The sequence below is a fragment of the Homo sapiens genome, chromosome 11 (assembly GCF_000001405.40).
Source record: "Homo sapiens chromosome 11, GRCh38.p14 Primary Assembly".
Lineage (NCBI taxonomy): Eukaryota > Metazoa > Chordata > Mammalia > Primates > Hominidae > Homo > Homo sapiens.
The window spans coordinates 83,797,983-83,825,954 of record NC_000011.10 but is presented as its reverse complement, the minus strand read 5'-3'; the positions used below and the strand labels follow the sequence as shown (position 1 = coordinate 83,825,954).

Genomic DNA, 27,972 nt, shown 5'->3' with positions numbered 1-27,972 from the left:
CTGGATTTTTCTTTACCTATGGTCAGGGATGCTATTCAAAATTTTCACACCTTGGCATAACCCTGGCACCCATCCACACAATGAATGGCCGTAGTGCCACAGATGCCAGACAGCAGGGCAGTGGGGACTTCTAGGGAGCCAGAGTTGTGGGTCACTCAGGAGGGCTCAGGACAGCAGTTATTTACTAACAAACCACACACAAGTGTGTTTCACTGTTGTACAAAAAGGAAGAGCCATATCACTGAGTGGGGACGGAGCAGCAGCCCTGTCCCCTCTGTGCTGAGCTCCCTCCTACCTCCATCTTGTTCACTGAATTTCCTCGAAAAGGAACTTGGAGTAGACAAGGAAAAACCCTCCATTATCTAAAAGGGACCAGAGAACTCATGAATTGCCCCAAGCGTCACTTAAACAGCATCCCCATTGTCTGACATAGAATCCGGCTGTATAATATATGTTAAAGAAAAGCAGTAATTAGGCCGGGCACAGTGGCTCACACCTGTAATCTCAGCACTCTGGGAGGCTGAGTTGGGCAGTTCACCTGAGGTGGGGAGTTTGAGATCAGCCTGACCAACATGGAGAAACCCCATCTCTACTAAAAATACAAAATTAGCCGGACGTGGTGGTGCATGCCTATAATCCCAGCTACTCAGGATGCTGAGGCAGGAGAATCGCTTGAACCTGGGAGGCGGAGGTTGCGGTGAGCCAAGATCATGCCATTGCATTCCAGCCTGGGCAACAAGAGTGAAATTCCATCTCAAAAAAAAAAAAAAAAAAAAAAAAAAATATATATATATATATATATGTGTGTGTGTGTGTGTGTGTATATATATATGTGTATATATATGTCTATATATATGTGTATATATATGTGTGTATATATATGTGTATATATAAAAAACAAAAACAACAACAACAAAAAGAAAAACAATAAAATCTGTGGGCACTCAGCAAACTGTGTAGGGAAACAAAATTAACATTGCTCCTTTCCAGTTATATTCCTTAAGTCTTGCTTATTCAATGTGTCATAAACATACTATATGTCACAACTTAGCAAGGTGCAGTGAAAATAGTACATTGGGAACCATGTACTTAACATCAGACTTGTAACACCTGACTCACAATATCACTACTCAAAGGATTTAACTGTAAGCAGCTTTCAAAAGTCTGAAACTTAACTCAGTGCACCAGTAAAACACCAGCTTTTCTCGCAGTGGTACTTCCAAAACTGTGTATAATAGCGGATGTGTGAAATGCTTCATAAAAAAGGTTCATAATTCAATGAAAGATCTGAGAAGTCCTGCAGCAAATTTTTTAAATGCTGATAAAGTGTTTTTTAACATTATTTAACAAAATAACTTTTTTAGTCTTTGGATATAAATTACTATCAAGTGAAACATATTTTTTGAAAATTCTGTCATAATCTCCAGAAAACCTCTTGCAAGTATTTTATTTGACGGAAGTAAATTTTCACCTTAAAATCTTGTTTGCAGAGCTCAGAGACATTCACAAAGTACCAAAAGCTACTAGACACTAAGGATGCAACGTGAAAAAAATCATTGTGTCCTCAGTGAACATGTAGCCTCATGAAGGGAGACAGACAAATAAATAGATTATTTCCAATATAACATGGAAATGCTAACGGTAAGTTCCAGGGACCACATGGGCGTAAAGAAGAGACCATCCTTAGCTCAGCCTGGGGAAGTAAGAAGGATTCTGGAGGGGAAACTTCCCAACAAAGAGGGCCCCTAGAAAGCAAAACCAGTAGAGAATTGGAGATAAAATGCCTAACCTTTATTGAATATATGCTCAGCACAAAGCATTTTGCTGGATACTGCGCTGTGATTTCACTGAATTGTCCTAACAACCTTGTTGGATTGAAGGCTCAGAGAAATTAAATAATTTGTCCAAGATCACACAGATAATCAGTAATGATGGTGGTATTTGGAATACTGTTGCTTCTGATTTCAAAGCTATGCTCTTTCTGCGATGCAGGCCTTCACCAAAGAATTGAATTTGGCAGTTTACTTATGTCTGAGGCAGTCCATACTCAAAGTCTAGTTAATGAAAAAAGCATAAATGCCTAAAAAAAGAGCATTTAAAAGGAGACATATGAGTCACCACAGGAAGCCATTGTATACGAAGGCTGTAAGATTGAGGCACTTAGAAGCAACGTTCAGATCCTTTGAAGCTTCCCTTGAGGATGAAACTGTGTTTTATTCATCTCTGCTCCCTTGTTGATTAACTTAGAACGGAGCTACTGAGCAAATGTTTAATGAACGAATGAATGAATGAATGAATGAATGAATGACTCATCTTTGCCCACTTCTCTGAAGGCAGTTGGAAATCCTAGGACCCCTCTCAGTTTTATTCATCTCGCGCTCTGGCCAATTAATCCCTTCTGTCCTGAAGATTCAGAATACATTAAAGCTTTTAGATTTCTGGCCAATGGAATATATTTCCAATTCAGACAGATCATTTCCTAATTGACTAAGAGGAATTCCTATAGATCAGAAAAATGTTAATTAACTATTCTATTACATATTAAATGCTAAATACTTGATGATCATTTAAAATATGTTTATGACATATTCTCTTCTTCCAAAAAATTTGGGTAGCAAGGACTTCCTATACAAGTTTCAAAGTGTCTTCTCTATGTAAACATCTAAACTGTGGTATAACAGCTGATCACAGATAAAGGGGAAATCGTGCAAAGAGTTCTCAAGTTTTAAAGAAGGAGTGATCATCGACTTGATCATCCCTCCTGAAATCTCTTTTGAGTCAAAAAGTGGACTGATTTTTAGTCCAATTTGTTTGGGCCTCAGAATAACCTATTTTATTAGCTAATCTCTAATAACCCTTAGATTTGCATTACCATATATATGTATAAAGTATCTCACTGTGATTATCTCATTTGATCCTCATAGGGTACCTTCAGGATAGGTAGGAAAGTGATCATGCTGCTGTTTTATTCAAGAAGAAACTGAAGGGTTCAACAGTTTTCTAACTCAAAGCCTGTTTGACTCTAGGTATAGGCCTCCTTCTTTCATGACAAGCTCCCTTACCTCTAACGCTAACTACTCTAGGAATATACCTGATGGGAGCTTGATTGGTGAATTTACCTCCTGGAGTTCTTGACTCCAGACAACAGACGTCAGTTCCAGGTAACTTATATGAAAAAAAAGAATTTATTGGAGAAATAACAGATAGTCTACAAGCTCTTCAGGAAGCCTGAGGAACCAGGCTCAGAGGCCAAGGAGGAAATCCTCCTACTAAGGGTGCTGGGCTGTCACCACTGGCCACTTATAGCCAAACCACACTGCCATGAAAAATCTCTGTTTCTCCATGCACCTTACACGTTAGTGTGGGGATGCTAAATTCCCAACTGGAACATCTGCTTGACTTGCCCTGTTGTAGCTGCTGAGGGGTGGGAAAAGGGAATAGCTGCCCCCTCCAGCTTCTCTAATGGGGGTAAGGCTGTGCCTCCTTCCTGTCTTGAATTGTCCCCAAATAAGAAGCATATCTGAACACTGGGTAGATAAATGATAAATGACCATCGGGGATTATTTGGCTCACTGAGCTCTATTTGAGGAATGTTTTAGGTCTAGTATCTTAAGGATCATAAGTGCTTCTTAAACAATAGAAATTATTTCAGAGAGAAGCCTCTAGTGGGAGGAGCCTAGGCCTGAGAGAATAAAAGGAGAAGAATTGAAGACAAAGGATGAGAGACATATTGTGTGCTTCCTACCTAGTAAGAACTTCAAATGGTTTGATTACTATTATCTTGCAGGTCAAAGTTCTGAGATTCTGAGAGGTTAAATAATTTGGTTAAGACCAGACTGTAGTAAAAGGACTGGACTCTAGGTCTGCCCAGCTTCAAAGTCAGTATTTTTTTCATCTTTCACACCAACTCCATAGATTCTATCAACTTTGATCATGTTACTCCTCCACTTAATATCTTTCGACAAGTTCCTCCTGCCTTTCCATCCAAATTCCCTCTTTTAATGACAAGGAGAAGAGTTATCTCCTTTGAGTTTGCTCTAGAGAGGAATGCAATAGAATGGGAACTTGAGGGTAGAGTTTGTTTTTTGTAACAGTGTTTATATGTTGATGGAAATGATTCAGTAGAGAGAAGGAAATTGGTGATTTATTTAGCAATTCATATACATGTATATTAAGTGGAAGAAGTGGAAAACACTTTGGCTGTATGGCTGTGACTCTTATTTGTTAATTATTTGATTTATTGAATATCTCTTATTGATTTATTTTGTTTATTGCTGTATTCGAAGAGTTTTGAAAAGTATCTGGCACTTTATAAGTGTTCAATAATGAAAACATGACTGTCAAATATTATTCTAGTGTTTATAGGAAATAGAGAGGTATATCAGACATTGTTCTCACCTTCAGGGGCTGATAGCTTAGTGGAGACATAAGATATGAACATGGTCGTAATGCATGGCAGATTGATAAAAAGAAACAACTACTATGACTTATTCTTCTCACGCTGACATTATTTAAAATCCATTCATCTAAAAAAAATCCATAATAAGTTTCTTAATTCCAAGTATCATCTTATCTTCTTCATCATCACCATCACCACTTCTGACACCATTCACTCCACCACATGCAATGACCGCTCTCAACAGCTGACATAAGTGGAGAGTCGATGAGCGTCCTCTAACAGCAAATTGCTCATACATGAGCTGCTTCTCTCTTTCAAATTCCCAAGGGCAGCATTGGCCCTTTCTCTGCTCAGGTTCTGAACAACTGCAGAGCTTGAAGCAGCAGATATCATGAGTTATGAGATGTGAACTTTCCAGCTAGTATGGAGGTCAGTAAGCATAAGCGTTATGTCTGCATCATCATTGCATCCCAGAACCTAACCCAGTGCTAGGCACACACAGGTGTTCATAGGTGATGAATAAATTAGATGAAAGAACTTGAAGTCTTCGCTAATGGGAAAGGAAAGCTTTTGGAGATTTTGTTCTAAGTTTTTTCCCTGAAATTCTCAGAAGATTCTTTTTTAAGTTGTCTGTGACATCTATGAGCCAACCTATTGCCTGGTTTTCCAGTTTAAGTGTCGGTTGGTTGGAAGAGAGAAATCCTGGATGAATAACTTACCAGAGAATAACTAAATATGGATCAGTAGATAGGATCCCAGGGGTAGCATTTTTCACTGGAAAAAGCTGTTCCTATACTACATATTTGCTGTGCTTTTCAAATGTCGGGGCTCACTTGCTCATCAGTGAATCAGTAAAAAAGGAAATATTCCCTTCCTCAGTTGTCAGGCCCACAGTATTTTCTGCCCCAGGAACAACTATCTCCAGGGAATATTTTCATTTGAAACATCCATTTTCTTGCCCTGAAAGCCATAAAAGATGAGACAAATCACTCTGAAAGCAGGTACCAAGGTCTGGACTTTTCAGCCTGAACCATAGTTTACCTTGTTACATATGAAATGCTTAGGTATCGTCATTCTAATAATGTGGCTGATAGCATTGATAATAATTGGTTGTTTCTGAATAGTACTTTTGATTTATGGAGCAATTTAAAATTTTTATTCTTATGGCAACCTTGAGACAGGCAGGGGATGGTATTATTATAATAACAACTTTTTATGAAGAAACCAAGCCTCAGAGATGCTTAGTAGAGAATACAAAGTGATAATGTTAGATGGAAACCTGACTATTTAGCTGCTCTTTTCTTATACTTTTTTTCAGTTATTTTCATAAACTGGCCTATGAACCTATTGTTCCCGTAAGACAATAAATAATATGTAGTGACTGGGATTATTTCCTAAAAATCCACAAGATGGCAGTAAAAGATTTTGCATTGAACTGGAGACACTAGTGGAATGTGGCCTTTTGCCCAGTTTTCATACTAGTGATTGTATTTGATCACAGTATTAAAACTGGTTATCATAATGATAGCTTTTTAAAATATAACTCAATGAATTCAAGTGGAATTCAAACCTGAAAGTAACATTTGTGACTTTGTTTATTATTATTATTATTATTGTGAGGGTCCTGTATTTAAACATAAGAAACCACTAGGAATCAGCTGGGAGCTCTGATAGCCAAGATTTCTTGAGAAAGCTCAAAATGAGAAATGTTACTCCTTCTTCAACGTTGGACTGACCTATAATTCTCCTGCTTGAAGGGGAGAAATAGAGGGGTCAGGAAAAGGTCAATAGTTAATCTTCCTTATAATTTGATTTCTTGTTATTTCTCTATGTTCAGAATCTTTCCTGGAGGGAAACTTTCCTGATGGACCAATGTTGCTGTAAAACATATTCCAGGAACATTTATTGCCTATATCTCTCAGGTTTTGTGTGTAACATAAACTATACTAAGCTATGGGTAGTTTTTCATGTACTTTTATTATTCTACTCTCAGATTTATGATAGAATTAAGAAGAATGAAGACTATATTTTTCTTTTCTTTTTCTTTTCTTTTTCTTTTCTTCTTTTTTTTTTTTTTTTTTTTTTTGAGATAGAGTCTTGCTCTGTCTCCCAGGCTGGAGTATAGTGGCATGATCTTGGATCACTGCAACCTCAGCCTCCCAGGTCCAAGCAATTCTCCTGCCTCAGCCTCCCAGTTAGCTGGGGTTACAGGCATGTACCACAATGCCCAGCTAGTTTTTGTATTTTCAGTAGAGATGGGGTTTCACCATGTTGGCCAGGCTGGTCTCGAACTCCTGACCTCAGGTGATCCACCTGCCTCAGCCTCCCAAAGTGCTGGGATTACAGGTGTGAGCCACTACACCTGGCCTACATTTTTCTTTCATTTGGCGGAGGGTCTGCCTCCATGCTGAGCGGGAACTCCCTTTGTTGATGGGGCTCGTGATCATCATCAGGCACATATAGACCTGAGTCAGTAGACTCTGTAATTGAGAACATCAGAAAAAATCACACTGTTTCTGTTTCTAACATAAAGGCAAGCAAGTGTTCCTTAGCATCTCCTTTGTGTGTAGCAGACAGGACTTATGCCTCAAAAAGATGGCAGTGGATTTGCATAAACATGTAAAAACTTAAAAATGAACGTCAGGTATCTCTGGTTTTAAAGTCCTTTGGGCAGTCTCTTATGCTACCCAAATTTATCTTTCCCCTTTTCCTGACTTTTCTTCTCTAATGTCTTTTTACGTTCATATTCATAGTCATTTCTTATGACAAAGAGTACAACCTTAATTTTTGCTTGCTTGTCAGAGATTCTCTTTTCACCTTGGGTGGCTCACCATCTTTCCCTGAAGGAAAAAATATATATAGCTTTCATACCCTTACTAACATAGATTTAAACCTCCTGTCAGGAAATAAGATATTCCACTCCATTCCTCTGTTTATTCATGTATCCTCTCATCCCTGTCTACAACGAACTTGATAGGGGCTTCTGTGTTTATGTCACCTTGCTATGTGGAATGTAATGATGACTAAGCCATGTGTCATGTCCTTGGGATGCTTATAGTCTAACAGAAGTAATAAGCAGGTCCACCCCGAATTATACTATAAGAAAAGTACAGTGAGGCAAGGGAGTTCCATAGAAAAGGCAAAACCTCACCAGGTATTCTGAGGAGGATTCATGTTTTCCTTGGTAATGGAAAGACCTTCCCAGATCCTCACTGCAAGTCTAAGATAAACGATTTTTTCATCAGGCCACAAAGGAAGAACATGAAGTCCAATGCAGAAGTTTTGAAAAGCAGGAGTGCTCAAGAATTATCAACAGCCCAGACCAACAAGACACCAGATGCAGGAGACTATTTGGCCTCTGAATAAACGGGATGAGGAGTTTAAGCACTGGGCTAGGCTAGGAAAAGCAAATAGCTCCCAGGAGCAACAATTCAGTTACTCAGGACAACCTGAACAAACTCCTGATCTTCTCACTCCTCTGTAAAGTGAAAAGACGGAGACTCAGGATCTTTAAAGGCCCTTCCAGCTCCAATATGCTAGGAATGTATGTGTTTGAGAGAACTTTGTGTGATAAAAAGGATGCACTGAAGGGTTTTTGAACAATTAATTTTTTATTAGTTATGACTAAACGTATGTTAGTTATGAATAAAGACTTCCCTTTATTTTATTTATTTATTTTTTAATTAGAGACAGGGTCTCACTGCTGCTAGATTGTGCAGTAGCACAATCATAGCTCACTAAACCTTTGAGCTCCTGGGCTCACGCAATCCTCTCACCTCAACTTCTCAAATAGCTAGGACTATGAACATGCATCACCATACACAGCTAATTTTTAAAATATTTCTAAGATACTGGGTCTCACCATGTTGCCCAGGCTGTTTTTCAACTCTTGGCCTCAAGCAGTCCTCCCACCTCAGCCTCTCAAAGCACTGGGATCACAGGTGTGAACCACCTCACCCAGCCTAAGACTTCCCTTTAAATAATAAAAGTTTTAAAATCAGAAATTAAAATTAAAGGCATACATTCATACTTTTTTCAGAGTCCATTGGTTATAACTTAACCATCCAAATAAAGTCTCAATTCCTCGATATAGCTTCTCTTAACTTGTCCAGCCATATCTCTAAAAGTCAGTCTTTTCTCTGTCATGTAACTATATCTGACATTGTATCCTCTCCTGAAAACTTTCCCCACCCCACCTTCTTCTGAATAACTCTTCTATTCTATTCATCCTTCAAATCTTAGATTGTTATATTCTCTAAATGCCTTCTCTTGCCATTCCCACTTCACCTTCCAAAAACACACAGAAGCACCTCCAAGTTAGGTACCCCTCTTAATGTGCTTTGTATATCCCATACTCTTCCTATGACAGCACTTACCATGTTAATTTTTAAAGACATGTTTAGTACTCCATTTTCCTTACTCTATTGTAAGCCAGGACAATGCTTGTCTTGTTTACCTGACATATAATATATCTTATAAATATATAATGAATGAATGAAGCTAGATTACTATTTTAAGTCAGTAGATTCTGAGTAAAGATCTAGTAAAATAAATGCATGGCCAACAATGCATGGGCAGTATACACCTGTATTGCGCAGGACACAATGTTAGGTACTGTCCCTATAGGCTGATTATTTAAAGGTTTCCAGCTGACAGGAATGTGTGTAACCTAACCAAACTTGAAGAATATTTATAAGATATTGTGTCTGACATCTCAAAAATCAAAATGAGAAACAAACAAAATGTAGTTATATCTTTTGTATAGCAACCACTAGAGGGCAATGAAAGCAAACGTTGAACATCCTTTGGGGGAAAGGAATTGTAAAATGTTTTCTGATTGAAATCTGGGCATATAATCTTATGTTTGGGATAGTTATAGGACCTGTAGGCTGTGGTTTCTGTGATTATGGGTTTAGTAGTTATAATTACCTTTCTAGTGTGGAATTCAAACCTAGATTCTCTGTGATAATAACATCACCTTACACTGCATGTATTATCTCATATGAACCTCCTGTAGCACTACCAGGGAATATACTATTTTCCCATTTTCCAGTGAAAAAAAACTGAGGTTCAGAGGCATTAAGCTAGTAAGTAGCCATAAGGTAGCAAAATATTGACACAAATCCTATAAATACTTATTAACTACTTACATTTACCAGGCATACAAAATTCTCTGCTAAGACAGACAGTCTGGGAAAATACAGGTTCCAAAATTAATTGTACCAGTTTAGAATGGAGACATATGGCAACAGCTCCTTAAAAGAAGATCTTGTGGTTTTAGGTAGCCATCTGATGATGCTGCCAATAGGCTAATAGGCTGGAGCCTATTTACGGAAATGTAGTCCTGGAATGTGGGAAGGAGACATCCTTCTGTCTCCACACTGGTTAGACTCTATCTAAGCTATATGTTCCACTCTAGTTGCTGCATTTTTATAAAGATATCAAGAAGCCACAGAATAGGATTAAGGTTCCTGGACATGATATATTAGAGGGTGAAGGGCAAAGTGAAATGTCCCAAAGAAGGAGAGAGAAAGAGAGGGAATTAGACACAGTGATGCTTAAGCTATAGGCTCAGGAGCCAGAGTGGGTCCGACTTGGCATACCTACTAAAAACAGGAAATGAGTAATTCCAGAGATCTGGGTTGGCCTCTTATCCATGTCAGATATTGAAGAGAATACTTGTTTGTATTCTCCAGGATTCACACAGAGCTAAAGAAGAAGCCTTTTTACTGCTTTAATCTGAGCAGACATCAGAAGCACTTTCCAGAGGCCCCCATGAGGCCTGTGTGCAGGGAGCTAAGCATGGCCTTGCTTGGTAACTGCAATAGCTGAAGTAAAGTGAAAGGCACTGAACATTCAAACAGGTTCTTTCGGCTTGCCCCAGCAAGCTCAACCTGCAGCTTGCCCACCACTTTCTTCCATTCTCTGCTCCATCCACCTCTTGTGTGTGTATCCCCAAGGTGGGCTGCAGGAGTTCTGTGGTCCAGCTGGAGCGTAGGCACTATGGGAGTAAATTTTCTTGGCCCCAGGATAAATCTGTGTCACCAACAGAGAACGCACATCACAGGGTCAGCTGGCCCTTAACCAACCTTCCCACCTCTGGTTACGTGATGGTAACTATCCAGAATGAATTTATTGAGAATTTTGCTTCAGAGGAGGTTATTCACCACAGTAAGGTCTCCATTATAAGAACTGGATCAGTTAGCATGGCCCGTGCAATCACCATGTTATTAAAAGACTTGAGGGATGAAGTTGCCTTTGTAGCTGTTGATAATGGTGAATTGAAGGGTGTGAGACAATGGATCTTAAACATGGCAGTCTTTTCCTAAAACTGCCAGATAGTGCTTCCAGCAAAGATTATCTCATCTCTGCAAACTCCAACCTAGTGATTATCACATCAGGTGCATGCCAGGAAAAAGGTGAAACACTTTAATTTAGTCAGTCTAAATGTGGCCATCGTTAAATTAATGATGTCTAATATTACTCAATATAGTCCTGCTGCAAATTGATAGTTTCCAGTCCAGTGGATATCTTAATTTATGTAGCTTAGAAATTGAGTACATTTTTCAAAACCCATATTATTGGAAATGGCTGTAATCTGGACACTGCCCATTTCCATTTCTTGACTGTGCAAGTGCTTGGAATCCACTCTGGAAGCTGCCATGGGTGGATCTTTGGAGAGCATGGGGACTCAAGTGTTCCTGTGTGGAGTGGAGTGAACATTGCTGGTGTCCCTCTGAAGGATCTAAACTCAGATAAAGGAATTGATCAAGATCTAGAGCAAGGGGGAAAATGTCCACAAAGAAGTGATTGCCAGTGCTTATGAAATTATGAAAATGAAAGGTTATACTTCTTGGGCCATTGGCCCATCTGTAACAGATTGAACAGAAAGCATTTTAGAGAATCCTAGGAGAGCGCATTCAGTTTCCACATAATTAAGGGCCTCTATGGAATGAATGATGTATTCTTCAGTGTTCCTCGTATCTGAGAGAGAATGGTCTTGCAGACCTTACACAGGTAAAGCTGACCCTTGAAGATGTGGCCCATTTGTAAAGGAGCACAGAAACACTTTGGGAATTCAGAAGAAGCTCAAGCTTTAAAGTTGTGTAAAGCTATCATTCTGAAATTATAGAAGAAGAGAAATAGCAGTTTTGGGATTATATATAAACCTTTTGAATAAACTTGAATTCCTAAAAATAGGAAATAGGAAAGGGAGTAGAGTAACGGCCCTGTTTATTTAGCCTCTATCGCTTTTATTATTAGCATCCAGATGCTGAATGATACTTATTTTTTACAATTCCTAAGCGATTGCATCAAAGAAGGTGTTTTTGATACGTCTGATGTGCCAGTACTTGCCTTGTATGTATATGCACTTGCCATTTGGTCCAAAAGAATGTATGATCTAGGTGTTTATTGTTTTATAGAAATCCTGATTCTTTTAAATACGTTCTAATATTTTTTTGGTCTGATGGGCTTATATTATACTCATTTACATACTCTTTTTAGAAGTCATTACTTTCTCTACAATGTAAAAATAAAAGTGCACATAAAGAAAAAAAAGTGAGTCTGCATCCTGACTCTGTTGTTTGTAATTGTGAATTTCGGCAATTTATTTAACTTCTCTGTGCCTCAGTTTTCTTATCAATAAAATGATGACTGTGTCTACGTATAGGGCTGTTATGAGGAGAAATTGATAATACATGTGGTGTTTAGTGTAACATTTCGCACCTGGAAGGATTTGATAAATGTTGGCTGTTATTTTTGTTGTTGTTGCTGCTGCTGCTGTTGTTTTTGTTGATAAAGCACTTGCAAGACCATTCTGCAGAAATGAAGGTAGACTTATTTGTGTTGCCCTAGAAAATGCCATTAGAACCAAAAGAGGCATCATCTAAAAGCAAGAGTTCGTAACAGGTTTAGTTTTAAATACTAAACCATGTATCGCCTAACTGATCTTGAACAAGTCACTCAACCTTACTCAGTCTCCATTTTCTGATGTTACTGAGGACTTAATGTGTCTGTTCACTGTGCTAAGCACTGTGGGTGGAGTGAAAAGGCCTTGTGTCACTGCATTGTAGTTACTCAAGCAGGAGCCAGCTGACCATCTGCAGGCATTTAGAGGGCTTGGGAGAAAGCATTCCTGCAAAGGATGGAATTTTTTTATCAAATCTCAGAGGATCCTATAAACAATCTTTGTTTCTGCTCTTGAAAATGTTGGAAATGAAATTTGTTCTCACTTTGAAATTGTCTTCCTCTGATACGGCACGAGGCTGGTCCTCAAATGGACTTGCATTCAAAAGTATTTCCCTTGAAGTAGTACCTGCCTTTTGAGGGTAACTGGATTCCTTTATTTCTCAAAGGTTAAGAAGATGAAAAAGTATGGCTTTGGAACCAGCAAGAGGCTTGAACCCTGCTTTACTATCAACTAGATGTGCAAACTTTGGACAAGTACTTAGCTTCCCCAAACTGAGTCTTCTTATTTATAAAATGGAGCCAATGACTCCTGCTTCAAAGGATTGTTATGGGGGTTAAATGTGCCAAGGGGTATAGAGCACCCATCATGGTGCCTGACACAAAGCAAGTGGTCCTGCCTTCTTTGACAGTGCCACCAACAGTCCCAGTGCTCAAGGCTCTAAGAATGAGCTTCAACTCTAAGAGGAATGGGCATTGGCCTTCTGGTCATCATCCCATCTCCTCAACTCTGTAACATTGTGCAACTCCTGCCAGATAAAAGCTGACCTCAAGTACATTTCCCACAATTCTGGTCCCTCCTCACACTCTATGGTACCTAGGGGTCTAGTGTCCTCATGCTCTTTCTTGTCTGTCCTTCAGTGAAAGAAATCAGATGAAGGAGTTCACACTGAGGTTGAATGTTAGGAAACAGGCAAAGCATTATTTTAACTAACTATATCGAGATTTTCACAGTATATCTACTAAGTTTAAGACCAAAACAGTGAATCTCAAATGGTGGGATTATAGGATTCCCAGTAAACCTTATGAGGAAAGAATTTCAGAAACATCATAAGTGCTTCATAGGATTATTCATTTATACATCTCAAAAATGGCTACATAAGGCTGTGATCTTCTTCATACCAAACCCAAGTCTTATTTTTATTGATTTCAGTACATGACATGACACAGCCCCTGGCACATTGTAGATGTTCAATAAATGTGGACTAGATAGTCTTGAGGCCATATCAGATGGACAAATATATTTCTTAGCCCATCTATTACTGTTAAACACAACCACAAACCATCTATAAAACACTTGGGATGGGAGAGTTGGAAGACATAGAAGTATTTTGCTTTAGTGTTAAGGATAGAGGAAATAACAGTTCTTCTAGAAAATGCCCTGTAACTGGGGAGAATTTCATAGGAGAAGTAGGATTTGAATTGAGCTTCCCAAGGCAAGGGTGGCAGCATGACATGTGGCTACGAAGAAGAGTGTTTCCAGCTCAGTAGACAGATGGAAGTTCAAAAGCTACTAGTAAAGGGTGTTGATGACAAGTTCTAGGTAGAAGCTAGCTTGTTTTGAAAACCTGAACCCCAGCATACATATTCTTGTCTTCATTTTAGTTTCCTTGGAACACTTTAAACACTTCTCCCACATTTTTCTCTCACACTTCTACACACTCCCAGTCCTCAGTCTCTGCCACATATACAGCAGGGGAAAAAATAGGGCTCTCTTTCTCTTTCTCTCTGTTATACTAGTTTCCTCTAATCTTTTGCTCAGTAATATATCACAGAACAACTTTCAGCTCATTAGCTGACAACTCCAATGTTGTTCTTTTAGAATGGTCAAAGATTTACTCTTTTCCCTGATAGCCAACAATACATAAGACTTTAATGTCCCTTTTCACATTTCCTGAGGCTAAAATTTTCACAACATTTAACTCAAATTTAAACTTCCTAAAACTATTTTGGGAAAAAGAACCAGGAAGATTTATTTTAACATTATTTTTCTTAATCAAAACAGCAAATGTCGTGAATTTTACACACTAAACATACTTTTTAGTGAGGAAATACTCTTCTAGAAAAAAATTGAAATTGTACATGCTATTTACATTAAAAAGTAGAAATTAAAATTTTCTTTTAGTGATATTAATAATGTTATTAGGCTGAACCATATGAAGTTGCCATTTCTGTAGGTCAAGTTGAATATTGTCAATTTTGTGTGGTTCAACCTAATACAGACTCTTGCATAGAGGTTACAGCCATAGATTATACTAAGAAAAGAGTCTTCAAAGAATTTAGTCCAGAAAAAATGAATTTATTGGTTTACTGATTTGAAAAGGGTGCTTAAACAAAGCAGAAGTATTCTTCAATTTCCCATAGTAAAAGCAAAAGCTACCATTCATTGAGTGGGTTTTCATCTGCATCACCTTATTCAGTTCTCAATATAACTCTGCAACCATTTTGAAGTAGATATTCCTATCATCACTTAATAGATGTACAGAGTCAAAATTCCAATCCTGAGTCTGCTGGACAAAACCCACACTCTTTCCCTTCTATTACACTACCTCAGAGATTTAACACAGAAGATAAACCACTTCTCCAAAATACAATACCAGTTAGCGTCAGGACTTGGAGTTATGGGTACATATTGAGTTATTTGCATAGAAAGCTTGACTTTCTACAGTTAGGTCTTTGAGAAAAAATTCTATAAAGTAGGAGATCATCTTATATATACTGAGCTCCTCAAGAACAGAGGCTATCTAAATAATCTTTGAATCCATGGGACATGGCACAGAACCTATTGTAAATCATAAATAAACATAGTAAATCACAAATAAATGTTTCTAGAATAAATGAGTAAACAAAAGAATGACTTTTGCATGGGAAAAGGCAGAATAGGTTCATAGCTCTTTGCAGAATCAAACATCTTACAGTATGTAGGTATTTTAAAACCACAAGATAGAATCACAGAATCATAACTCCGAATGGAATACCAGAGTTCCTCTTGTACAATATTTGTTTGTTTGTTGTTTATTTAATAAACAAAGGAACTAAAGTACAAAATTCCAAAGCTAAATGATGACACAAGCCAGAGCCAAATCTACCAAGCCTTCTTGAAAATATACCTATCCCTGGATTTTTCTTCCTTTAGGAACATAAATGTGCTAAGGTATTATCTACTCATCAATAATTACCAAAATTATTTATATTTTTATACACAGCATATATACATGTATACATACACACACACACATAAACAATTGCAGCACAATTTACTTTCTTTAGGGAAATACTTGTTTTTATTGCACACAGCATTTGATAAATATCAACATTAGCCAGGAACTTATAGGTGTGAGAAAGAAGGCAGCTAAATACAAGTTTTTTTGGTTGAAAATCACACCCATTCACTAATCCTCAGGTGGACTTGTTCTCAGGAAGAATAATTTACATTGTCAAACACTCACAAGCCTGAAAAAGAAAGAAAAGAAGGGTGAATTTGTATTCATACAACAGATACCTTCACACACTTTATCCTGGAAAACACATTGTAGTTTATACAATTTGTTGGTGAGTGATTTATGCTTTTTATGCATAGTTATTTGCTTAGTCTCCTATTCATCCAAAAATCCATACTTTTTCCTGGTTTACCTGACTTTCTCATTATGCATAACTTTGAAGAGAAGCAATATTTAGCAATGATGCATTCTCTGCAAATGGATGGCATGCATGCATCTGTCTTCTAATATAATATTCATGGTTTTCACATCTCCAAATGTGAATTTTCCCCTTAGTGCTTCTTCAACCCGTATTTTGTATCTTAGGGCCATACAAAAATTGAAACATTTCAGTACTTATTTCATACTTTTAAGAGGGAAGAAAATATTGGCAAAGGATGGGTAAGAAATGGAGGTTACAATGCAGATGATATAAACCTTGAGCTACATACATACCCAAAAGCCCAAAGTTGAGCTATTGTTGACTGACTGGTTCTAGGCAAGGACTAAGGGTCAGTTCAGGAGCAAATATAGAATTTAGAACATTCAGTTTATAATGATGGTGTTAAGAAGGGGGTTGAACATTCACTTGGTTCTTTGATATGTAGCAGGTCTCTATAGTAGACAGGAACAAGTGGATTTTGAAGAAGCTCCAGAGACCTATAAATCCTAAGGAGTTTCTCCAGAAGCCCTACATGGAAAAACCCTAACTTGAGGCTTGTCCTTGACTTAGAGTCACAGAGCATTATGTATAAGCAACACAGCCTAAGATAGCATTTCCAAATGCTAGCACAGATAATTTTGCTATTTTAGTTTTCAGGAGCAAGCTCCTCTGGCTTGCCTGTATTTGACAGCTAACCCAGTGTTTTAGTTGTATTGATGGTGGAATGAGAAAGATTTATTTTTATAAGTCTAATTATGAGACTTTCACAGCACATCAGTTTGGACTTCAAAAGGATAACACAATTCCAGAAATTAGGTGGTAAACAGCCAGTCATAGGCTGTCTTCCCAATAAAGCACGATAAATCAACCAGAGAAGAGAAGAGAGGATGCAGCAGGAAAGTAGAGGCAGATCACTCAGAGGGAGGTGGTAAGAAAAAGCAAGTGAGACCAGCTGCAGGAGGAGGAAATAGACACAGCCCAGCCGCAGAGGAAAGGTAAGGAAGGAAGAAGTGAAGGGAATCTAGTCACAGATGCAGAGAGACAGATCAGGAGAGGATCACAGAGGTGAGACCCTGCAGGGGAGAATGGGAGGAAAGGGTGAGGGTATAATAGAGAGGAAAAAAAATGAGAATCAAGGGACCACACCTTTACAGTGCAGTGTGCAGTGTATGGTGTACGGTGTACAGTGCAGTGTACATGGCAACTTTTCCAGGTGGTAGGAGTTTGACAAAAGAGAAAACAATGCAACAGGAAACTGCATGCAATGCAAACTTGGAAAGGGAAAAGATAGAGGATGATGATTTAAAGAATGCAGAATTATATGTCTGGGTTTCATGGAACTCCTCGTGCCAAGAACAGCAAGGGCTAGTCACATATATTTTATTCTGTTGCTGGCAACTGTTAGTGCAGTGAATGGAGTTTGAGAGTTCCAGGTCCTCTGTTTCAGGCAGCCTCCAGTGCTTCTTCCCCTTCTGGATGACTGCTGCCCTTGTGCTTACTGACTTAATGCCTCTTGGTCTCACAAGATGTGGCAGAGCCCACCGCTGATCAGAACCTGCAGCCAGCCTCTCACAGAACTGGCCCCAATATAGGCTGAAGCATAATTCAAGGAAGGAGCTGGGTGAGAAGGCACTGAACTTGGCCACAGGAATATTAAAAGGGTTTGACGTTAAAATGCTCTGGGAGATTGTTGTGCTCTCTAATACCCAAAGTGGCAGAGCTGTTGAGGAAAGCTGGTCCCTGCACTGACCAAGCTTGCCCTAAAGAAACAGGGAAACAGCCTGTAGACACCAAGACTACAGTATGCCTGGAGGGGGCTGTTTACTGAGATGGAAAAGCAAAGTGGCCCATTGTGATGACCGGCACGAGGCTGCTGTTAGAAGGCATGTGATATTATGGGGAAGGGAATGTGTATGCGTGGGGAGCAGAAGTAGATTTGGAAGCACATAGCAACATTGATGACTGTCAAAGATAGGAGTGTTACCTGCAGACCTAAGGCTGGAGACAGCAGGTATTATAAGAGAAGAGGGAAGATTAAGTAGGGGAGAAAGGACACAGTGTGTGCACCACACAGACCGTATCTCTTATGTTAGCTCTGCTACTTTCGAAGCATCTAATCTTTCTGTGCCTCAGTTTTCCCATCTTAAAGTTGACCTCAGCAAAGTTCTTGGGAGGATTAACAATAACAAGCCTAACACAATACCCTCTTGTTCAGTATTCAGTAACTAGTATTATCTTTATTAGTGATCTCCTTCCACAGTTAAATTCTTGGTCACAAACAGTTTGAAAGTCAATTGCCTTGATTTCTTCTCCCTTTATTCCCTCTCTCCTTTTCTTTTCTGTTCTCCTGATTCGCTTTTCCCCTCCTTCCTATTATTTACTGAGCATTCACTTTGTGCTAGGAACTGAACGAATGCAGTGGAACTTTATTTCTTGATGTTTTTATCTACTGAATGGATTGTGGCTTTGCAGCTCCGTTCACATCTGAAGCTCTGGCAACTAACCATGGAAACTCACACCTTGCTGGAGAGTTGTTTTCTGCAGGGAGCAGCAATTCTATGTGCTAAATTGGGAGGCTGGAAAGAGAGAATTGGTTAGTAATTAGAAAAGATATAAATTACTGAAAATACCTCCCTGCCTGTGTAAATGGAAAATTTTTCTGATGCTTATAATATCCACTTGGGACTGATAGTGAAAGATTCAGCACAGCCTTGACTGCTTTTATGAAGTCTTGATATATGCTTCAGAGAACAAAGGAAAGTGATGAAGGAGAGATGATTCCAGACGATGGTCACTCTTTCTCACTCCTTATTGTATGGAGTTTGTCTTTTCAGGAGAGTTTTGAAATGATTCTGTTGCTGCTTCTAGTTTTCCCAAATGTCTAGAAGCATTTTTTGAAATCAGTAATGCTTGGAGTTAAGGCTGTATTTATGTGGTCTGCCTAATACTTCCCACAAAAGTCCACATTCAAGATGGCAGCTCCAGTATAGAGAATTATGCCTTTCAAGGTGGCAAAGTTGGTTGCCACCTTCTAGGGTCCTGCTTGTCTGCTATATTATTCTCCTCGCTTATACTTTCTTTTCTAGTTTACATCGTTTTCACTATTAGACACTGAAATTGGCCATGAAATCCTTGGTGAGCTGATTAATAATTCCTCTTTAGAGGAACAGGAGTCTTTGTGAACCTTAAGGCTTCTTCAGAGTTGAGGAAGAGATTCATCAAGCACGTAAAGCTGTAGTCACCCTCAGTAATAATGTATGAGGACATCGATTTGTGCCACATCCTGGGAAAACAAGAAGCCTGAAACAGTGGCTGGGACTGCCCTCGTGGGGCTTACAGTCTAGTTATTGATATTTATTCATTAAAAAGGTAAATAGAAAAAGAAAGCAAATCACAGAACATCGTGTGTTATTATGGGATCATTCTTTAAAACAATGACTATATATGGAGGTAAACATGAATGTTTTTCCACTCACATATATTCACTCACTGACAGGAACCAGGCACTATCCTAGACATTGGGAATGTAGCTGGGGATATGTAAATATGTGTAGAGAAAGTGTATAGAGTTAATTTGTCTAGTTTATTATCAGTGGTTACCTGAAGGTTAAGATAGAAAGATGTTCACAGTTTACTTGCTGTTTTTTTGTATTGTTTTAGTTGTTTAAAATGAGCTTGCATTACTGCTCACCTGAAAAATAATAATAAAAGAGTAAAGAAGGACCAAAATTCATGTAATGCTGCCAGGTTGTGGGGCTGATGGCCAAGTAAGTGTCACGGACCATCATGATTACAGGAGGTCTGGGAAGATAGAACCTGACCTGGACAAGGGAGAAGGCCAAGACTTCAAAGAATCCAGGAAAACAGGAAGTAAAACAAGGAGGAGGAAGTTAGGCCCAAGGGAATAACATTAGGCTAGGGATGGACATGAAGCTTCTAGCAGCAGCAGAGGGTTTGCTTAGGAGAGGAGGCGTGTAATGTAGGACATTGAACTCTAGCATTCTCATCTGGACTCTACTACAAATACACTGAGTGACCTTGGAAAATAACTTCATTCTCTGTGCCTCACTTTTTCCACCAATGATATGGGAGGACTAGACAGAATCCACTCTAACGTTCCCTCATATCAGAGAAGTATCTGGTCTTAAAAAGACTAGAGAGGGTTGTGGTAAAAGCTGCATTGTGAAAGGGCTTAAATATAGGGCTAAGAAATTTGCACATAATTTACAAGCAGTTAGGAACACAGATGAATATGAGCATCTGTGGCATGTATAAAATGTGAAAGGCAGTATTTAAAGAAAAGTAGAGTGGTTGTGATATACAAGATGACTATCAAGGTATTGAGAGTAGACAAAAGGGAGAGGGAGGATGGGAGAGAGACAGAGATTAGAGGAAAAGCTAACATCAATTAGAAGTCTACCACATGGTAATGAGATATAATATCATGCTATATCAAAAAACCAAATATATGATATATCAAAAAGAACAATATTATATATCAAAAACATTCTAATATGATATATAAAAAATTATGTCATGATATATCAAAAATAAATCCAGAATGATAGAGAAAAATTATATATATATATGGGAGAAGCTCTCCTGCACAAAATAATACCAGCTAATAATTCTAGAATAAATAAAGAATTTATAAAATAACCATTTTTTAACCCGCTACAAAATAACTATTTCAAGAAAGCATAATCCATAGATGCTAAAACAATTAGGGGTTAAAGTTGACTGGAAAAAGGATATTTACATGGTCTCAAATAAACCACCTTATAGATTGTTATTTGCAAAATAGAAAGGTGCCTTTTAAATGAAGAGATCTGGTGGTCCATGTATTTTGAGCTTCCTGCTATGACGCAGTAAGAAATACACAGCATTCATTACACACTGGATTTTGCTAAAAATGTTTCACCTGATTCTGAAGAAACAATCAGACAAATTCAAAATGCAGAACACTCTATAAGCATCTGACTGAAATTATTTTTAAAAAAAGAGTAAATTTTATTTAAAGAAAAATGTAGGTAATGTTCAAGACTAATAATGACTAAAGACATAGTAACAACCAAATGCAATGCATAAAACTTAAATCCTGGATTTAAGAAAAAAATCTGTAAAAGACATTTGGAGGATAACGGAGGAAATTTGAATAGGTGCAATATATTAAATGTTATAGAAATATTAGTTTTGTTTGCTTTCTCTGGAGTAATAATGGCATTGTGGTTATACAGAAAATGTCTTTACACTGGGAAGATGCCTTGCTGATATGTTAGATTGAAAGTGGAATGACGTCTGCAACATAATTCAAATGGTTCAGAAAAAGTGTGTGTCTGTGTGTGTGTGTGTGTGTGTGTGTGTGTCTTCTGCTAGGCAGATAGGTAGGTAAGTGGAGAGAGTGAGAAGGAGGAAGAGAGGGAGAACAAATGTACCAAAATGTTAAGAACTGTTGAATCTTTATGAGTTTTTATTATAATGTTCTTCAAGTTTTCTATAATTTGAAATTTTTCAAAATAAACAGGAAACAGGGCCTGTTTCAATAGTTCAGATCAATGCTTAGAACTAGCATAGTAAATTAGAAAGGAAAAAACAAAAGCAACAGATATTTTGAAGAGAAATAGTTTAATAAATATTATTTCTCATTCATAGTGGTGAATACAAGTTGATTTTCATGCATCTCTGTTTATTCAGATCTCCTCCTCTTGATTTGACTGATTGCAGTTGGGAAGATTTTGACTTCCCAAAAAGATTTGACTGATTGCAATTGGGAAGATTTGATGAAAGTAATTGGGAAGAGGGGACTTAAGAGTTCTTGACACAGTTTGCCTAAACTCACAAAACCTGTTTCTTGGGAGCTTTTAGGCAATGAGATGATTACCTTATTTTTAGATGAGGAATAAGTCAAAGAAATACTAAGATGTAATTATGGGCAACAGCCAGATGCCAAGATACACATAAGCCCAAACACAAAAGAATGTCATCAACTTGAGGAACTACGATGAAAAAAACATCAGATGAGTCCCACATGCAGCAGCCAGAGTTTGAGTTTTGCATTAACAGATTTTGACCAAGATTAATTCCATTAATATATTATTCCTGCTCAAGCCTTTCAGATGTTTTAGGAGTGGACTGTTTGACAGATATGTCTCTGGAGGCAGCATTATTCCTTCCTTTAAAATTGATTCCAAAGCTTATGAACAAGATTAATTGTGTATGAGGAAAAAAGGAAACAAGAACCCTTTTCACTTACATTACAATCTCACTCAGATTAGTTTATGTAAACTAAACCAAATTAGTGAATATTATAGGATATGTAGAAATGAACATCCTTATTGCTTTCAAATCTGTATACTATTTAGACAAATTCCTAGTTAATAACTTTGACCCAGAACTTAGCCAACTGAACTTGTTTGAACAAAATAATAAGGTTCACTGGGAATTAGGGCATTTATGTGAAAAATGGTATTGATTCAGTATTTCCTTTTGCAGGTGTTATTGCACCTTTGGAAGGACATTTTTTCACTATGCCTGATTGTGCCACGGTTTGCAAAACATTTAACACACATGAGCCTTCTACAATTAATGCCAATGCTGACTCCTGACTTGGACATTTTAACAACAGAAAATACCATCCCCCCTCACAAATAGACACCTTTTCATACCCAGTTGAGAACTACTGTTAGATTCTAAGTCACTTAGGGCTGAACCATTGCTTTCTTCACCAATCCATCCCCCAAAAATAGCACAATGACTGGCACAAAGAAGGCATTCAGTAAATATGTATTGAATGGATTAATGCAATGTTTGAAAATTTGATTACCCTAGGACTCATGTTTTCTATAAATATTATCATATTTTAAATTTGCCTACATAACCCCTTTTGCCTTTTATTGCTAAGGTAACACAAACCTCAAATTCAGTAGTTAAAACTTTTTTGTATGACTTTTAAAATTGTTATGATACAACATATTTACTTAAAAATATTCACATACTGTTAAGGGCTATAAAATGAAATGTAACCCATTCTCTCCTCTTCAGCATTTCTCCCCTCCCCACCACAATACCATAGCCCCTTAAAGCCTCTGTTATCAATTCACTGTGTAACCTTGCAGGCATTCTCTATAAGATCATTCATCCTTTTCTTTTTTTGAAACAAACAAACTAGATACACATATAGTTCTACAGCTTGCTTTTCTTTAATTTAGCAATAGATAATGACTTTTTTTTAGTTTCAAAATATTAGACATGTATGCTGTTGCTTTTAATGACTGCATAGTATTCCATTATATGAATAGTTCATTATCTATTTAATCAATTTATTATTGATAGTGTTTTAACAGTAGATTAAATAGTGATATTTTAATACCTGAAACCCAGAAATCACAAAAAAACTAAGTTTAAATAAAGAATAATAGAGCACTTTCAGTTAGTCCACTGATTTCAAAAGGGAGAACATGTTGAGCAAATTCAGAAGGCTTTTTTCTTACCACCATCCACCAGAGAAAGGATCTCAGCTTCAAATTTAACCCTAACCAAAGGGAATCTGTCAGCCTAGCAGCACACACACATCTCATCTCAGGATAGAACATTTGGTGGGTGAGTTGAGAAGCCACAAAGCAGATCTTGAAGGGTAGGAATTTAGCCTTCAGCCCAGAGTCTGACACTGCCTGAACAATTTAGAGGCTTGGATGAAGTGGAGGTGGTTGTTTAACAATGTTTGCAAGGACATTTAAGACATATTGGTGCTTCAAGGAACATATTGGTTGCTCTACAATTTTTTTTTTAATTAGCGAGGCATAATGGTGCATGTCATGTCACTGCTATCTAGCCTGAGCAACAGAGTAAGACCCTGTCTCAAAAAAAGAAAAAAAAAAAGTCTTGGGCCTCACCCTCAAAGATGCTGATTCAGTGAGTTCAGTTTCATCAACCATTCTCCCCCTAGAGGACAAATGCCTTCTGAAAAGGACTCTAATTAGTACCTGGCTTATAACAAGTGCACAGTAACTGGTTGTCAAATAAATTTTAATGATTTAAATAAAGTTATGTGATTTAATAGTTATAACCATTCATTAGTTTAAGGAATATTGTTGAATATCTACATAGTGTAGTCAGCACTAAAAGTATGGAGTTAAAAGAGACACTCAAGGTCTCTACTTATGGGAAGCTTTTCTCGGGGTGGGTGAGATAATAAACAGAATAACATGTGGGCCTAAATTCTGTAAGAAAGTAAAACCAGATGAATTAGAGATAGGCTGGGAGGCTACTTTCAATGTGATTGTCAGCAAAGAGCTCTTTGAGGAATTGGCATTTGAGCTTATGAAAATAAGTTGTCAAAGATGAGAAAAGCTAGGTAAGAGCACTCCAGTCAAAGGGACCACTGGCATAAATGCTGTAAGACTGGAGGAAACTTGGACTGATGCAAAACAGAATGAAGGCCCTTGTGGCCAGCAAACAGTAAAGAAGACAGAGTGGAATAAGATGGAATAAGAGGGATAGGCAGAGCCCGAGGAAAGGAGTTTGAATTTCATTCAAAGTCTAACAAGGAGCCAAAAGAAAGATTTTAGCAGAGGAGAGGCATGATCTGATACAGAGTTTGAGATCATTCTGGCTGCCGAGTCAAAAGGGGATAGAGGAGGGTGGGAGGAGTGGGCCACAGAGACAATGGAGGGACCCATCGAGGCTACTGTAGTATTCCCAGGGAAAATGATAGCTTGGCCTAGAGGGATGGGGTGGAGTTAGAGAAAATGCATGGAATTAGAATATGGCTATGAACTAAGGGATTGCATGGGGAGGTGGGAGGGTAAGAAATGAATGGAGGTTCTTGATTCAGTGGTTTGAGAGGAGAATGGTGGTAGTACTGTTTGCTGAAAATGAGAAAACTCTCGAGAAACATGTTTGGGAGAAATTTTGAGTTTGATTTTGAGCACGATGAGTTTGAAAAGTCTTACACATCTATCTGCAGATGTCAAGTAAGCAGATAGATTTCAAGTCTGGAGTTAATGTAAAAATCAGAGCTTGGAGATACTAGTATCAGCTTGTGTTTGTATAATATTTGTATAAGGTTTCAACTATTTTTTGCTTATATATTCTTATAAAGATAGTTAACTTTTTACTTGAAATGCATGAATTCTAGATCTTACTGTCTTTCAGCCTTTAATAAGCTGGGTTTGGACAGCCAAGTTATACTTTATTATTTTCATTTAAAGATTCCAAAATAATCATCCCTCTAGAAATGACCTGGTAATCCAAAACATTTTTAAAGGTCTAATTTTTTTTAACTATAAGCCTGTTTTTGCATCAGGAATCCAAATTTAAAGGGAAGTTAATGTTTAACTGCTAAGATACATAAATATTCAATATCAATTTTTCACTTTGCCTCTGCTCCAGAAGGATTCTAGTCTTGAGCTGTAATGCATATACTGTCAGAAATATTACCACTCTCCACAAAGTATAACAGCCTCCAGGAGGGGAAGGGAACTTAATTAGAAATTTCCACTTCAAATACAATTTATAGTTCACTCACTCTGAAACATGCTGGAGGGTATTTGAAAAATTTAATGCATAATGATCTGTTTGTCTCAAGTTGTCAACAAAATACATTTTGAGCATAGAATATATTTGTTTATTAAGCATTAGACGGTACCTCTGTGATTTAGTATGAGGCTCTCTTTCTAGATAAAGAAACTGAGGCCCAGAGAGATGAAGGGGCTTCTCAAAGTCAAATAAGCTAACAGCATGACTGGAACTCAGCACTCCTGACTCCTAGGATTGTGCTTTTCTGTTTCAGTGCCTTCAACCCTAGCACTTTTCCCTGGTCAAATGAGCCTGCATTGAGATAATTTTATACTCTCCCAAGTCATCCTCTTTGTGTACGTCAGGAGAGGGTTCAACAATAGCTAATAATTATATGCCCTTACTAGATGCCAGGCACTGTTCTAAATGCTTTACATGTATTAACTAATCTAACCTTACAGCAACTCTGTGATGTGGTACTCTTATTATCCCCATCTTGTATATCAAGCTTCTTCTACATCTGTGTCTAATTTGACCAGGGTACTGACCACAGGAATATGAAATCTAAAATGATTTTGAACATTGGCCACTTCTCTAAGCTTCAGGTAGATATTTTCTAACTGTCTGCAAAACTGTAGATATCCAACAGACATAGCAAAGTCAACATGTCTAAAACAAAATACATTATCCTCCCACCCAAACCCACTCTCCATCCTGTGTTCCTGTCTTGATTAATGGTATCATCACACCTCCAATCATCCTAAAGCTTTTTGACACCTTCCCCATTTCCCATTTTCAATCTGCTCAACACAGTAAATATTATTTAAACTCTGTTTGGCTTCCAGAAGTATTTGAGGAGAATAGCTGCATAGAATCTTCCTCTGTTTTCCTCTCTCAAATTTGTGCCACATCTCCCACCCTCAAATCCACCCTCATTTGCCTAATTTGGGCCTTAATTATTTGTATCATTGGTAACACTTCAATAGTATCACATCCGATTATCTACTGGGATACTTCCTACCCTGTCCTCACTTAATTCATTAACCCCAGTTTCTCACTGTTGCCAGAGTTGTTCTCCCATAAACACAGGTCCAATTGTGTTAAATGCTTCTGTAAAACCCTTCCATAGCCACTTATTGACAAAACTTCTTGCCCTGGCATTCAAGGTCTACTTCTGCTGGCAGCATTTTTTCTTTCTCCCTATCTATGTTCTATGCCAGCCATCAGACTGCTCACAATTCAACATTGAATGTGATATCTGTAGTTTCCCTGTTACCCACATAAGTATGTGGTAAGATCATTTAATACATGTGAATTTGTTTATTCTATTTGTTAGTTTATGTATCACCTTGTTCAGTAACAAATGTGAGGTGGGGAAGCAGTTTACTAACTGTGAAATACTTTTGAGATGTTATTTTTAAGCCATAGAAATAATTAAATTTACAACACAGGGGACCCTAGAGATGGTGTGGCCCAGCACCTTCATTTTTCAGAGCAGCTCCTTAGCTGGCTTGAATAAGTTGATGGCAGAGTTGGCAACAGAACTTACATTTTCACTTCGTTGCATCTCATCACTTCAGGAAAAATGAAAATAGATTTTTTTCCCTCTTGAAAAAGAACGGGAGCCTTCTACATGTATTTAATACACTGTAATACATCTGTTCATCTTCCTATCCATGGTCTCTCTGAATAAAGTAGAGATAGTTTGGATCCTACACCAATTTCTTCCCTGCTGCCCCCTGCCACCTTGCACCCAGACCCCCAACTGTGAAATTATTGGCTTGAAACAGTCCCCTGTGTTCTGTACCTGTCTCATTTTAATTGAAATGTGGTGCCAATTATCTAGCCTTTTCCCATTTGGTTACTCCTTTGTATTTTTTTCACAGTTAATAATTCTGTTAAATTTGTAGTTCTTACCTACTTTTATCCTAAGATAGTCTTCTACCAAACATATTCTTTGGTTTTATTATTGCTAATAAAAGCCAGTTAAAAGTCCTGGTCACATAGATAATGGATATGCTATAATACACATAGCAACTATTTAGTAAGTACCTACCATGTACCAAATATTATTTTAAGCATTTTATTTGCTTAAACTCTAATAATCCTGATAACAGCCTAACAAAAGAAGGGTTCACATCTTTTGATGCATATGAGGAAACAAGTTCAAAGAGATTAAGGAACTTACCCAAAGTCATAGAGCTGGTAAGGGAAGGGACCAAGATTTGAATCCTGGCCTTCCCGGGTCTAAACCCAGTATTCTTCCCAGGACACTGCTTTCAGAGCAGGCAGATGACATGAGCTGTGGTGGAAAACCTTGGCAGCCATGAGCATTTGCTCTGCCTTCTAAGCAGCATCTCCAAGGGGGTCCATCCAACCTCAGAGTCCTGTAGCCAGGCTGGCCATAAGCACATGCTTCCTGCATATTCCCTTCCTGTGCATTCTCT

The 27,972-nt window shown here is 38.0% G+C and overlaps 1 protein-coding gene and 1 pseudogene across 52 annotated transcripts in view; both read left to right on the top strand.

Annotated features, from left to right (window-relative positions):
• DLG2 (discs large MAGUK scaffold protein 2) overlaps positions 1-27,972 on the top strand; it is a 2,173,362-nt gene that overhangs the window by 1,802,419 nt on the left and 342,971 nt on the right. The gene's annotated exons all lie outside the window — the stretch shown is intronic.
• On the top strand, positions 10,288-11,689 carry LDHAL6DP (lactate dehydrogenase A like 6D, pseudogene; annotated as a pseudogene).